Raw genomic sequence first — 14,780 nt, forward strand, 5'->3', positions numbered from 1 at the left:
ATCGATTTCAGTCAATTTCAGTAATAAATCCAGGAGGACGCAGCCCGACCCCTCCCGCCCGGGGGCCAAGCCATGGTGGGGGATCTGGGTGGACCTCCGGCTCTGGCCGCCAGTCCTCAACCTCCGCCCCGGCCGTCCCGCTTGGGGGCCCAGGGTCCCAGGAGAGGAGGCTCCGGGGCGCCCCCTCCCCTCTAATGCGAGAGGAGAGTCCGCTCTAGGCGCGGGATCCGCAACCTCCCCGCGTCCGCCCGAGGCGGGGGCGGGGCCGGACCGGAGACGTAACTTCCGGTGTACACAGCCGGTCCAAGGCGGTGCGCTGGGGGCCGGGGCGCGTCGCAGGTGAGGAGCGGGCGCGGCGGGCGCAGGCGGGGGCTGGCGGGCGGGGTCGGGCGGTGGGCGGTGGGCAGCGGGGCCGCGGGCCGCAGCCAGGGCAGACGGCGAGACGGGCCCGCGGGGCGCCGCTCCGCTCGGGGCCGCAGGGCGCGGGGCCGTGGGCTCCCGCCCCTTGCCCGCCCGCTGTGGAGGACGCCGGGCTTTGCGGGCGCTGGCCGGCCGACGGAAGCCCGGAGGGGCCTCCTGGCGCGAACCCGGGACCTGGGGGCGCGTCGGAGACTCGGCGGCCGCGGCACCGCAGGGGCGGGTCGGCGCCCGTCAGGCGGGGAAAGGGGACGCTCCCTCGGTTCGCCGGGGCCCGGGAGGTCGCGCTGGCGCCAGGACCCGCTCCCGGAAGCCCGCGGAGGGAGGGCGGCCTGCTGGCGGCAGGGGTCCGCTGGGGCTAGCCGGGGAGGCGGCCCTCACGCCATCCCGGGGCTGCCGGGCGGGCTGCGCGCACCTTCCCGGCGGCGCCAGGCTGCCGAGGAACGCGCTTTTCCGGCCCTGCGGAGCCAGCTGGCGCATTGGGCCCGAGGGGAGGGTCCGCGGGGACCGGGAGGGCCGGGGCTGAGCGTGGAGGACCCGAGCCCGAGGGACGAGCGCAGAGTCAGGGGTGTGTCTTTCTGCGCCGCGCGGTGCGAGGAAAGAAGCGTGCCTGGTTGGCATGATAAGAATTTTGTTTAGACTTTTTAGAAATTTTCCAGAGACTCAGCTTTGGGGGCCTCCAGTTTGAAAATACCTTGTTCTGGTCCCTCATCCCCATTATAAAAGCAGTTAATTCTCCTTTCCTGGCAAAACACTCAAGACGACACAAAAAGTCTTAAGGTAGAAAATGACAGTCATCTGCCAGTCTACCATTCAGTGACAACCACTGCTAACATTTTGGTGATAATCAATAAATACAGATAGGTATTGTTATTTTTATGGACTTTACAGTATGTGATTTAACCACCGATGAGCATTGAGATAGTTTCCAATTTGTCACAAGATAAACAATTCTGCCGGAAGGATTTGTTTGATATGGTCTTTTTTTTTTTTTTTTAATAAGAGACTGTTGCCCAGGCTGGTCTCAAAACTTCTGGCCTCAAGCGACCCTCACGCCTTCGCCTTCCAAAGTGTTGGGATTACAAGTGTGAGATATTACACCTGGTCTGATTGTTATCTTAGAATAAATTTACAAATGGGGTCAAAGGTAACTTTATTTGTTTTTTTTTGAGACAGTCTCCCTCTGTCACCCAGGCTGGAGTGCAGTGGCGGGATCTAGATTAACTGCAACCTTAGCCTCCCGGGTTCGAGCGATTCTCCTGCTTTAGTCTCCCGAGTAGCTGAGATTACAGGCACCCACCACGCCCGGCTAATTTTTGTATTTTTAGTAGAGACAGGGTTTCGCCCAGTTGACCAGGTTGGTCTCGAACTCCTGACCTCAGGTGATCCGCCTGGCTCGGCGTTCCAAAGTGCTGGGATTATAGGCGTGAGCCACCGTGTCCGGCCGTAACGTTCAATTTTTAAGAATACATAGTATTTGTTTTCCTTTGACATATTTGGACAATTTTTCTGTCTCTTTGTCATAAAAAAAAATTCCAGCCTGGCGCGATGGCTCATGCCTGTAATCCCAGCACTTTGGGAGGCCGAGGCGGGCGGATCACTTGAGGTCAGGAGTTCTAGACCAGCCTGGCCAACGTGGTGAAACCCGGATTCAACTAAAAAAATACAAAAAAACACATTAGCCAAGCATGGTGGCGCGCTCCTGTAGTCCCAGCTACTTGGGAGGCTGAGGCAGGAGAATCGCTTGAGCCCAGGAGGCGAAGGTTGCAGTGAGCCGAGGTCGTGCCACTGCGCTCCAGCCTGGGCAACAGAGTGAGACTCCATCTCAAAAAAAAAAAAAAAGAAATTCATGTTTGCGTCTCATCGTTTCATGGTTTTATTTTTTTGCCTTTAGTCTACCTAAAATTCATTCTTGGTTTAAAATATGAAATATTTTGTAAATGGCTAGTCAGTTCCAGATTTATTGAATAATATGTAAGCTTTATCATTTTATCATATTTTAGACTAAAAGTTCTAAGTGTATGTTTGTAAGGGCTACTTACAAAGTTCATATTTACATTTTGTGTGTGCTTAGATGTTTTCAAGTGTCTTTAAAAATCACAGTATTTTCTTTTCACAGTATCTTCACAATATTTTGTTTTAAAAAGAAATCATTTTCCAATACAAGTACAGGGAATATTTCATGTTTGAGATTTTTTTTTTCTTTTTAAAGCAAAAAGTTTAGTTTATTGCCGTTTCATTTGCTTTCTTGCTGACAAGATAACAAACTCCATATGAAGAGTTCAGGTTTGTTGTGGCAACTTTTCAGTGTGGCATTTGAGATTCTAATCTTCCTCTATTTTTGCACACAAATACGTAGGTTGGCATTGGAGACCAAGATAGAAAAGTTCTCAGATTCCCTTGGCAAGCCTAGATTTTTCAATCTAAAATTATCTCCAGATGTTTGGAAGACCATGTTTTAAGCATCCTTTTTTTTTTTTTTAAGCAAATTGCACATGATTCTGTGAAAATTTTAGTAAATGTTTGTTCTGTTGAAAACCTATAGCCTAATACATCAGGATCCATGTGTCAAGTGGGTCTTCCAAGTCTATAGGAAATAATTGTTTCTGAAAGCTAGCAGGCTGGGATATCACATGGGTTGGGTGTCCACTCTCTTTTTTTTTGAGTCGGAGTCTCCCTCTGTCCCCGAGGCTGGAGTGCAGTGGCGCAATCTTGGCTTACTGCAACCTCCACCTCCCAGGTTCAAGCAATTCTTCTGCCTCAGCCTCCCTAGGAGCTGGGATCACAGTTGTGAGCCACCACCCCTGGCTAATCACTCTTTTTTCCTCCTGTAACTTTGTCCTTAGTGAAAAATGATGATCTTCCTAGGTAGGCAAAAAAATGTTGGTTTAGATAAGGAATTGATTTGTTTTGGAGTTATTGAAAAGCAGGTTGCCGTTTTCTCTGAAGTGTAAGTTCACAGAGAGCCTGAATGTTGTGTTTGGATTAAGGAAAAACAGCAACAGGTTGTGCTTGTGCTTCAAATGTCTTTAACTCTACTGAAACTGCCCTCTTGAGGGTCCCCTAACTGATGCATGCAGTGGCCATTGCTTAATTATTTTCCTTGACTTTGATCTCAGGTATTTGGCATGGTGAGCTATTCTTTCTTGCTCTCGTGAATCTCCCATTGATTGGCCTTCTTTTTTCTTTTTCTTTTTTTTCTTTTTTTTTTTTTTGAGACAGAGTCTTGCTCTGTTGCCCAGACTGGAGTGCAGTGGCTCGGTCTCAGCTCACTGCAACCTCTGGCTCCAGGGTTCAAACGAGTCTCCTGCCTCAGCCTCCCGAGTAGCTGGGATTACAGGTCTGCGCCACCACCCCCAGCAAATTTTTGTATTTTTAATAGAGATGGGGTTTCACCATGTTGGCCAGGCTGGTCTTGAACTCCTGACCTCAAAAGTGCTGGGATTACAGGCGTGAGACACCACGCTTGGCCTTGATTGGCCTTCTTGACTTGGAACTAGTGTGGTCATTTCCTGAAATCTGTGACTGCACTTTCTCATTTGTCTTTACTGCTTCTCTTCATACATCTACCTTGGGGCATTTTCTGAAGCCTAGTTTTGTACCTCTTACCCCCGCTCCAAAACATATTCCTTCCCACTTATCCAGTATATGAGTCCTGGGTAGAGAACCACCTCATTTCCTTACCTCTGCCACCACTTAGTGACCCCCGACTCAGAGTTTTCTGCAGGTCAATTCTTTTTCTCCTGTTCAGTAACCCCTGGACATGTTCCTGAGGCCATGCTTTCTCCAGGTGAAGAAAATATCACTTCTGGCCGGGCGCAGTGGCTCACGCCTGTAATCCCAGCACTTTGGGAGGCCGAGGTGAGCGGATCACGAGGTCAGGAGACCGAGACCATCTTGGCTAACATGGTGAAACCCCATCTCTACTAAAAAAAAAATATTAAAAAATTAGCCGGACATGGCGATGGGCGCCTGTAGTCCCAGCTACTCAGGAGGCTGAGGTAGGAGAATGGTGTGAACCTGGGAGGCGGAGCTTGCAGTGAGCTGAGATCGTGCCACTGCACTCCAGCCTGGGCGACAGAGTAAGACTCCGTCTCAAAAAAAAAAAGAAAAGAAAATATCACTTCTTTGCGAGGACAAGGTGAGAGGATTACATGCTCTCAGGAGTTGGAGACCAGCCTGGGCAACATAGTGAGACCTCTGTCTCTTAAAAAAATGAATTTTAGGTCTGGCACAGGGGCTCATGCCTGTGATCCCAGAAGTTTGGGAGGCCAAGGTGGGAGGATTGCTTGAGATCAGCCTAGGCAACATAGTGAGACTCCAAAATTATCTAGGTGTGGTGGTCCATGCCTATAATTCCAGCTACTTGGGAGGCTGAGGCCGGAGGATTGCTTGAGCCTAGGAGGTTAAGGATTCAGTGAACTGTGATTGTGCCACTGCACTCCAGCCCAAGCAACAGAGCGAGACCCTGTCTCAAAATAAATAAGTAAATAAATAAATAAATAAATATCACTTATCAAGGTGTCCTGTCCTTCCTGACTCTTAAGGTTCTTACCAGCCGGTGAATCACATCTTCCTTCTTGATATGGATTGTATTTGCCATTTGCTTTCTATCCCTACACCTCGATTTAGACTTTGTACCTTTTCTTAAGGGATTTCAGGCTTAACGTGGTCCTACTCTGGATGTGAAAGAGGAGACCCAGTGAATTTACTCAAGAATTGAGTTAGCTCACATTTATGGAGTACCTACAGTACAGCCCAGTTACTTTACTGGAAGATCAGAATACAGAGCTGGACAGCACATCCTGGGAAGAATGCCAAATAAGCAATTGTCATAAAGTATTATAAGTGCCTAGAAGGGGAGTCACCAAGTAACCTCTCCCAGGTTTCAGAGATCTTGCGTGTCTTATTTACTGCTTTGATCTCCAGGGCCTAGAACACAGTGCGTGGAAATGATGAAGTTTTTTTTGTTTGTTTGTTTGTTTGTTTTGTATTTCATTCAGTTTAATGAGGGGACATGAGGAGCCAGGGGCAGAATGATATGGTTAGGCTGTGTCCTCACCCAAATCTCATCTTGAATTGTAGTTCCCATAATCCCCACATGTGGTGGGAAGGACCTAATGGGAGGTAATTTAATCATATGAGCAGTTTCCCCCATGCTATGCTTGTGATAGTGAGCAACTTCTCACAAGATCTGATGGCTTTATAAGGGGCTTCCCCCTTCACTTGGGTCTCATTCTTCTTGCTGCTGCCATGTGAAGAAGGACGTGTTTGCTTCCCCTTCTGCCATGAATATGTTTTCTGAGGCCTCCCAGCCCTGGGGAACTGTGAATCAATTAAGCCTCTTTCCTTTATAAATTACCTAGTCTTGGGCATTTCCCCATAGCAGGGTGAGAACAGACTAATAAACCTTATTTTAAGAAATTGCCACAGCCACCCCAACCTTTAGCACCCACACTCTGATCAATTAGCAGCCATCAACATCACGGCAAGACCCTCTGCCAACAAAAAGTTTACCACTTGCTGAAGATGCAGATGATCATTAGCATTTTTTAGTAATGAAGTATTTTTAAATTAAGGTATGTGCATTGTTTTTGTGACAATGCGATTGCATACTTAACAGACTACAATATAGTGTAAATATAACTTTTATATGTACAGGAAAATAAAAAACATCATGTGACTTGCTTCATTGCGATATTCACTTTCTTGAAATGATCTGGAATGACACCTGCAATATCTCCAAGATAAGCCTATAATATCTTTTCCTGATAATTTTGGCTATATACTTCTTGATCACCTTTTCTATGACAAGGATTTGGTAATATCATTTTTTTATTTTTATTTTATTATTATACTTTAAGTTTTAGGGTACATGTGCACAATGTGCAGGTTAGTTACATATGTATACATGTGCCATGCTGGTGTGCTGCACCCACTAACTCGTCGTTTAGCATTAATGAAGTATTTGTTGAAGGAATGAATGATCATCTGAGAATGAAATCAGAAAAAATGTCATACACATTAGCTATCTATAGAAAAGATATAAGTCAAAAGATATTTCGTAAATGTAGTTTGAAGAATCTCAGGGAAAACTTTAAATTCAACCAAACTGACCCAGCTATAACCCCAGGAAGGCATGCATGGAATGTGTTTGTAGCTGGAAAGCTTAAACTTAATTTTGTATCCTCAGAAGAAATACTTGTGTTTCTGGGAGAGGATTGGGACAGTGTCTGGAAATTGGGGTGGCGGGTCCAAGAGAGGAATTACGTGGTGTGTGTGTAGCACTCTCTGGGGGCCTGACCAGAGGAGCAGTGCAGCGTTCCCTCCACAAAGCCATCTGCACTAACACACAGATGGGCGTGTCCCTGTTGTTGCCTCTGGCTGCAAGGGTCTCTCCCTTGCTTAGCGTCTGTCCTCCCAGTACCATCTGAGTAGAAGATAGCTGCACGTGGAGATTTCTTGGTAAGGAGAGAATGTGAGTGGTTGAGGGCTCTGCATCTAAGCTGCTTGGATCAGATCCTGGTCTTGGGATGCTGGCTAATCTTTCAGTTTTCTGATTTGTAGAATGGGGATAATAGTAGCACCTTTCTCTTAGTGTTGCAGTGAGGGCTCTGAGCGTGCTACCCGGCACCTGTGATAAGTATTCAATGACAGTATTAGCTCTCGTTGGTATTCATAAAGTAGTAACTGGCCTCTGGTTCATACATCAGTTTTCTTTGAGCTTAGATAGCCTAAATAATTAATCCCCATGGAACTGCTTGCTTCTGGGTGCATTGAATAAGCTGATAAACAGACACTGGGAAGTAATGACAGATAAGCTCTTCCTACACTGCTCATCCAGGGAATCCAGCCTGCAGTTCTCAGGGGAGACTTCTGGAGAAGGCTGTTCTTGAGCTGAGTACTGTGGGAAAAAGTAAGTCCAGTGCCACAGCAAGAGGGGAGGACTCTTGGGCAGGGGCATGACACGTCCAAAGGTGTGGAGGTGAGAGCAAGCATGAGGTATTTGAGCTGCAGGAGATTGAGGGTAGAGTCTGGACAGGTATGAATAAGGAGTAGAGGGAAATGACATTGGAAAGTGGGAGCAGTCCTTGAAATAACTAATAACAATGTCTAACTGGGCACTAACAGCACTTCAGGTCCTGTGCTGAGTCCTTCGACTCACTGCGCTAACCAGGTTTGATGCTGAGAGCTTTGTCTACATTGCATTGTTTAATCCTCACAACAACCCTTTGATGTAGGTACTTACCTCTGGTATGTGTGGCATCATGTCACATGTCACCTGGTAGGTCTCCCTGCCTTTTTTTTTGAAATGGAATCTTGCTCTGTCACCCTGGCTGGAAGGCAGTGGCAGGATCTCGACTTACTGCAACCTCTGCCTCCCTGGGTTCAAGCGATTCTTCTGCCTCAGCCTCCCGAGTAGCTAGGACTACAGGTGAGTGCCACCATGCCTGGCTAATTTTTGTATTTGTAATAGAGGCGGGGTTTCACCATATTGGCCAGGCTGGTCTTGAACTCCTTACCTTGTGATCCGCCCACCTTGGTCTCCCAAAGTGCTGGGATTACAGGAGTGAGCCACCATGCCCAGCTGCTGCTTTTTTTTTTTTTTTTTTTTTTTTTTTTGAGGCGGAGTCTCTCTCTCACCCAGGCTGGAATGCAGTAGTGCGATCTCAGCTCATTGCAACCTCCACCTCCTGGGTCGAAGCAATTCTCCTGCCTTGGCCTCCCAAGTAGCTGGGATTACAGGCATGCGTCACCACGCCCAGCTAATTTTTGTATTTTTAGTAGAGATGGGGTTTCACCATATTGGCTAGGCTGGTCTGGAACTCCTGACCTCAGGTGATCCGCCTGCCTTGGCCTCCCAAGGTGCTGGGATTGTAGGCGTGAGTCACCTCGCCTGGCCTCTGCTTCTTGATTCAGCCTGCACATGGCTGCCAAGATAACTCCCAGTGTCTTATATATGTTTAAAAGCTTTTTGTGATCCTGTTTCCTGATGAAGTCCAAGCACACTAAGATCCTCTGACTTCATGAAAAACCACGAAGTTAAAATGTAAAAATATTTATATCTTAGAATTTAATAAAAACAGGACAGGTGCAGATGTGGATCAAGCTCAGAGAAATCAGTGAAAGAAGCAAGGTACAGAACAATGTATGTTTGCCCATTTGTGTTTTTCTAATTTTAAAAAATTTCTCCACTTTTGAAGTAATATGAGCTCATTTGTTTAAAAAAATATATATAGGCCAGGCATGGTGGCTCACGCCTGTAATCCCAGCACTTTGAGAGGCTGAGGCGGGCGGATCACCTGAGGTCCAGAGTTTGAGACCAGCCTGACAACATGGTGAAACCCCACCTCTACTAAAAATACAAAAATTAACTGGGCATGGTGGCGGGTGCCTGTAATCCCAGCTGTCCAGGAGGCTGCAGCAGGAGAATTGCTTGAACCTGGGAGGTGGAGGTTGCAGTGAGCCAAGATCGTGCCACTGCACTCCAGCCTGGGTGACAGAGCAAGATTCCATCTCAAAAAATAAATAAATAAAAATAAAATAAATAATGTCTCCCTCTCTCGATAGAGAGATAGATAGATAGATAGATAGATAGATAGATAGATATACATGAAATAGGTTTATAAGTGCAGAAATAATTTATGGAATGATAGAAAAGAAACAGTGGTTGTTTTTGGGATGAGACCCCAGAAAACCAGGCTGTTAGGCTGAGTTAGCTTTTTCTTTGCATACCATTTTGTATGGTGTGAATTTTTTTCCCTGTGTATATGTATTTTCTTTTTTTTCTTTTTTTTTTTTTGAGACAGAGTCTTGCTCTGTTGCCTAGGCTGGAGTGAAGTGGTGCAATCTTGGCTCACTGCAACCTCCGCCTCCTGGGTTCAAGCGATTCTCCTGCCTCAGCCTCCTGAGTAGCTGGGATTACAGGTGCCCGCCACTACGTCTGGCTAATTTTTGTATTTTTAATAGAGACAGGGTTTCACCATGTTGGCCATGTTGGCCAGGTTGGTCTCGAACTCCTGACCTCAAGTGATCCATCCACCTCGGCCTCCCAAAGTGCTGGGATTACAGGCGCGAGTCACCGCACCCGGTCTATGTTTTCATTTTAACAATAACTTTTAAAATAAATGTCTATGATGGACATGGCTGTTGTGTAGAGTGAATGTAGCATGGAGGTTAAGAGTGAGGACTGTGCAAGGCGGCTTGGGTTCAAGGCCTGCCCCTGCCTTGACCTCAGTTTACCTCCTCTGAAAATGGGGAGGTAGTAATACCTGCCTCCTGGGGTTGTAGTGAGGCATTACTGAGTTAATATTTGTAAAGTCCTTGGAACAGTTCCCAGGAGGTATGTGTTTGTCGTCGTCTCTGTTGCTCTGTCCCTGTGCTATGCATGACCGTAAGTGTAAAGATGTGTCCAGCCTCTGTCTCTGATGCTCCCAGTTCATTTGGAAAGGGAGAGCATGCAGCTAATGACAGAGACAGCAGAGGCTGCAGGAGTCAGAAAGGCTCCTTGGGAACTGAGGTGGCCCAAGATGGTTTCATCAAAATGATGGTTGTTAAATATGGGTAATTTCTAGAGGGAAAATAACACAAAGGGACTTTTTCCATGTTGTGTGTCCCAGCCAGCCTGAGGCAGGCAGAGGAGTCAGAAACAGGACAAGAGCTTTGAGGAGGCCTGAAATTTGGACGTGTCATGTGATGACATGTCTTTTTTTTTTTGGAGGGGGGGACGGAGTCTTGCTCTGTTGCCCAGGCTAGAATGCAGTGGCATGATCTCAGCTCACTGCAAGCTCTGCCTCCCCGGTTCACGCCATTCTCCTGCCTCAGCCTCCTGAGTAGCTGGGACTACAGGTGCCCGCCACCATGCCTGGCTAATTTTTTGTATTTTTAGTAGAGACGGGGTTTCACTGTGTTAGCCAGGATGGTCTTGATCTCCTGACCTTGTGATCCGCCCACCTCGGCCTCCCAAAGTGCTGGGATTATAGGTGTGAGCCACCACGCCCGGCTGGCATGTCATTGTTATATGGCAGAGTTTTTCTTGGCATATATGAGACAATGATATGATTTGTAAATGGTGACATCTTTGACTCAGTGAAGTGTGGTTGCTCTGCCTTGATGTTTGGAATGGCTATGAGGTGTTCTGTGTGACGTATTTAACAATCCTCGTAATGCAGGGCACGTGGGAATAACCAGTGTTGCCAGTGAGTGTTCTTGACGCAGGCCTCTACATTAACCGTGAGTCTGTTCTAGGATTCGTGCCTAGATAGAATATTGCTTTTCTTTCTTTTTTTTAAGTCATTTTGATTATGTTCCTTGTGTCTGGGCCACTGTCAGTTAAGTGTGTTTTCAAATTGGCAGTGGCAAAGAATCATAATGGGAAGATTTTTGAAAGTGGAATTAGAGCAAGATATTACCTGAAAAAAAATCTGATTTTCTTACTAAAAATGATTTTGGGATTAAGTACTAGTGAGATGCTAATTATGGCCAGGAAACCTGGAAATAACTCGCATCTTCCCTCACCCCACCCCCGGTCCCCGAGGTGGATATATGTTCATGGGAACAGAGTTTGGGGAAAGCTGGCTTGGCTCCCAGACTTGGGTGCCGCAGGCTCTGGTGACCTAGGCAGGAAGAGGCGGAAGTGGTTCCTCTCACCAGCCACAAGGACCTGTGCTGCTCCTGGGTGTCAAGGTGGGAGAGAATGCGCTACATCCTTGTGCTTGAGTCACTTTGTAATGTACTTTGTAATTCCAGGTGATGCCCCTCCTCAACTGTGTCCCTTCTGTTCCTGCCTTTGGCTTGGGGTTGAAAGAGGAGGGAGTGGTGGGCACGGAAATGGGAGGAGCCATGACCTCTTTCCCCTCCAGCGCATAGGGCATTACTTCTTTTAGTTTGTTGCCTGGACTTGGGAGTTGGGCCCAGAGCTGCAGGAAGGTAAGTTTTATTTCTGAAAGTTGTTTTAACTTACAGATTTTGGGGGTTCGAGGGAGTTTGTTTTCGACTAGTAGAAGACAAGAATTAAGAATTGCAGTGGAAGATGAAATGCTATCTTCTTACTAATCCACGCCCTCTTTCAGAGCAGTAGCTTTCATTTACGGAGACTGAGGGTATGGCAGAGGCTGTGCTTTATGGATTTAATCCTCAGCAGTACTGAGGCACAAGAGTTAGGCGACTTGCTCAAAGTTAGTAAGTGCCATTTATTCAGCTGATATTTACTAAGAGCAGGAATTCACATCTAGATCAGTCTGATTCCCATACCCGTACCAGTAACTACTGCATTTTGGAAGTGCGTCGTTTCCATGAAGTTTCTTTGTATTGGAGCATCTACCTGAAAGGCAAGGGCCTGAGCATTTTCTCCTTTTCCCTTATTAACGGTAAGCTCCTTGAGAGCAAGCATTATGTCTGTCTCTTCACCACTGCATCCTGGGTTCCTGGAGCAGTGCTATGCACTTAGGAGAACCTTAGTGAATGTTTGAGTATGTGAAGGCTCATGGCGCAGATAAGTGGCAGAGCCAGAAGCCAGCCTGGAGGTGAACCACTGCGGGCCTGCTCTCTGGGGCTGTCTTCCCTGCCTAGCGAGTGGATGGTGAGGAATCACCTAGAATTTTCTCATTTCTTAATGTTTGACCTGATGAAATATTGGGAAGAATGAGCTTCCTGGCTGTGACTCTGATTTTCTGTTGTTTTTTTTGAGACAGGAGTCTCGCTTTGTCACCCAGGCTGAAGTGCAGTGGCGCAATCTCGGCTCACTGCAACCTCTATCTCCGGGGTTCAAGCGATTCCCCTGCCTCAGCCTCCTGAGTAGCTGGGACTGTAGGCGCATGCCACCATGCCCAGCTAATGTTTGTATTTTTAGTAGAGATGGGGTTTCACCATGTTGGCCAGGATGGTCTTGATCTCTTCACCTCGGCCTCCCAAAGTGCTGGAATTACAGGTGTGAGCCATTGCATCAGGCAACTTTCTGGTCTTTTTGAGGGATGGGAAGGTTTGCTGGGTATGCAAAATTGGAGTCAGTGTTCTCAGCTTGGAAGAGATGTTATAATTTATTGATAGAATTTTTTATGGATGCCTTAAATTCTCAGAAATGATTTTGAATCTTAAGTTTATCTAAAATTTATATAATCCTTCTCCATAGTGAGAAAAAAATTTCTAAATTATAGTTCGATTTACCTATTTATATATAAGCTTCTGGATAAATACTTGTTTTTTTTTCCTCCATTTGAGGTTAATTTTGGATAGGTTCCATAGTGCAAAGTTGTTAAGAGTGGCAGTATAGAATTTTTAAGTTTTCTTGGGCCAGACATGGTAGTTTATGCTTGTAATCCCAGCACTTTGAAGGGCCGAGGCGGGAGGATCGCTTGAGGCCAGGAGTTCGAGACCAACCTGAACATCACAGCGAAACCCCATCTTCTGCAGAAAAATTTAAAAATTACCCAGGCATGGTGGTGTGTGCCTGTAGTTCCAGCTACTTGGGAGGCTGAGGTGGGAAGTTGCCTGAGCCCGGGAGATCAAGGCTGCAGTGAGCCGCGATCACACAACTGCAGTACTCTAGCCTTGGCAACAGAGCAAGAGACTGTAAGGTCTCACTGCAGCCTCAATCTCCCTGGCTGAAACCATCCTCCTACCTCAGCCTCCCAAGTAGCTGGGACTACAGATATATGCCAGCACACTGGGCTAATTTTTTTTTGTTTACTTTTTAGTAGAGTCGAAGTCTTGCTATGTTGCCCAGGCTGGTCTTGAGCTCCTGAGCTCAAGCAGTCCTCCTACCTTGGCCTCCCAAAGTGCTGGGATTACAGGTATGAGCCACCGTGCCCAGCCAAGACCCTGTCTTTAAAAAAATAAGTAAAAACAAAAACAAAAAATAGAATTTTAAGTCTTCTTAAATAACTTTCTAATGGACACAATTAGTTTTCAGTAATCCAACCTTTTTTTTAGAAGTTTTGAAAACTTTTTTTTGGATACCTGGGCTTTTGCACATTGTACCACACTGTAACAAAAATAAACCGCAGGTTTCTAACTGGTGTAGACTGTTGATTTTTTTTTTTAACAAATTAGGTTTGAATAAATTATATAATTGCTTTGTGGTTTTTTTGTTTTTTTTTTTTTGATGGAGTCTCGCTCTGTTGCCCAGGCTGGAGTGCAGTGGGGTAATCTTGGCTCACTGCAACCCCTGCCTCCCAGGTTCAAGCAATTCTCCTGCCTCAGCCTCCTGAGTAGCTGGGATTACAGGCACCTGCCACCATACCTGGCTAATTTTTGTATTTTTAGTAGAGACGGGGTTTCACCATGTTGGCCAGGCTGGTCTCGAACTCTTGACCTCGTGATCCACCCGCCTTGGCCTCCCAAAGTGCTGGGATTAGAGGCGTGAACCACTGCACGTGGTGCTTTGTGTTTTTTTTTTTTTAAATCTACTTAGAAATAAATTATTTTCACCCCCTGATTTACACTTGAATTTCCACTAGCAACACAATTTGTTGTCACAAATGTTTTCATAGTACTTGGGCACATTTGATGCAGAAATTTTTAATGGTCCAAGACTATTTTAGTTGATAGATGAAACCTTCCTTTTACCTGAACAAACTTTTTCGGAAGTTTAGGAGCCAGCTTTGTTCATCCTTTGGTGATAGGTGGTGGTTTGTATGTGTTTGTAGACAAAACTTTCCTTGGCGGGGATTTGCCCCTTTTTTCGTTGTTTCTTCTTCCTTTGAAGATCTCTGTTTAACAAAGATTTTTTTTTTGGCTCACAGTGTTCCTGTAATAGAATTCCTTCAAGAGTTCTAATACTAGTTTTGTTTTGTTTTGATGGCAGCAGGTTTTGAGAGTGAGCTTTTGACTTCATAAGAAGACTAAAACAACAGTCTTAGAGTACAGTTAAGTCCATTTGTTACCAGAAAATCAGACAGACAGCTAGGTCTGTCCTCATCAGGACCAAGTAATACTGGATTTTTTTTTTTCATTAAATGTTCACTATTTTTCTTTGTATGAAATTGAGGCCAGGTATAGTGACTCACACCTGTAATCCCAGCACTTTGGGAGGTCGAGGTGGGAGGGTTGCTTGAGTCCAGGAGTTTGAGACTGGCCTGGGCAACACAGTGAGACTCCGTCTCTTAAAAGAAGAAAGAAAAAAGAAATTGAATATGTGGTGATTACTACCCGTTTCATTTACTTTTTTACTTATTAACGTAGTGACTGTTTAAAAAAAGTTACGCATTGATCTTCCTGTTCCTTCCCCACCAAAAATAAAAGCAAAAACAACAAGCCACCCCTCAAATGAAACAAAATTAAGCCTGTTCTTTATCTATATTACTACTTAGCACATTTGACCTATTTTTTTAAAACCTCTGTTATTTTGAAAGTAAATTTTGGCT

The 14,780-nt window shown here is 45.9% G+C and overlaps 1 protein-coding gene across 1 annotated transcript in view, besides 2 other annotated features; it reads left to right on the forward strand.

Annotated features, from left to right (window-relative positions):
* Positions 1-278: 278 nt before the first annotated feature.
* GARRE1 (granule associated Rac and RHOG effector 1) overlaps positions 279-14,780 on the forward strand; it is a 101,013-nt gene continuing 86,511 nt past the window's right edge. Inside the window, exon 1 of the mRNA NM_014686.5 lies at positions 279-339. The gene's annotated coding sequence lies outside the window, so the exon portion shown is untranslated. The remainder of the gene's footprint in view (positions 340-14,780) is intronic.
* Positions 576-1,097: an enhancer, noted in NCBI's record as "H3K27ac hESC enhancer chr19:34745756-34746277 (GRCh37/hg19 assembly coordinates)". NCBI's record gives its function as "activates a minimal SCP1, AML or CMV promoter by ChIP-STARR-seq in primed H9 embryonic stem cells {active_cell/tissue: H9 hESC(primed)}" and the evidence as "EXISTENCE:reporter gene assay evidence [ECO:0000049][PMID:30033119]".
* Positions 4,900-5,100: a silencer, noted in NCBI's record as "peak3442 fragment used in MPRA reporter construct". NCBI's record gives its function as "represses an SCP1 promoter by STARR-seq MPRAs in K562 erythroleukemia cells {active_cell/tissue: K562}" and the evidence as "EXISTENCE:reporter gene assay evidence [ECO:0000049][PMID:32103011]".

The sequence above is a fragment of the Homo sapiens genome, chromosome 19 (assembly GCF_000001405.40).
Source record: "Homo sapiens chromosome 19, GRCh38.p14 Primary Assembly".
NCBI lineage: Eukaryota > Metazoa > Chordata > Mammalia > Primates > Hominidae > Homo > Homo sapiens.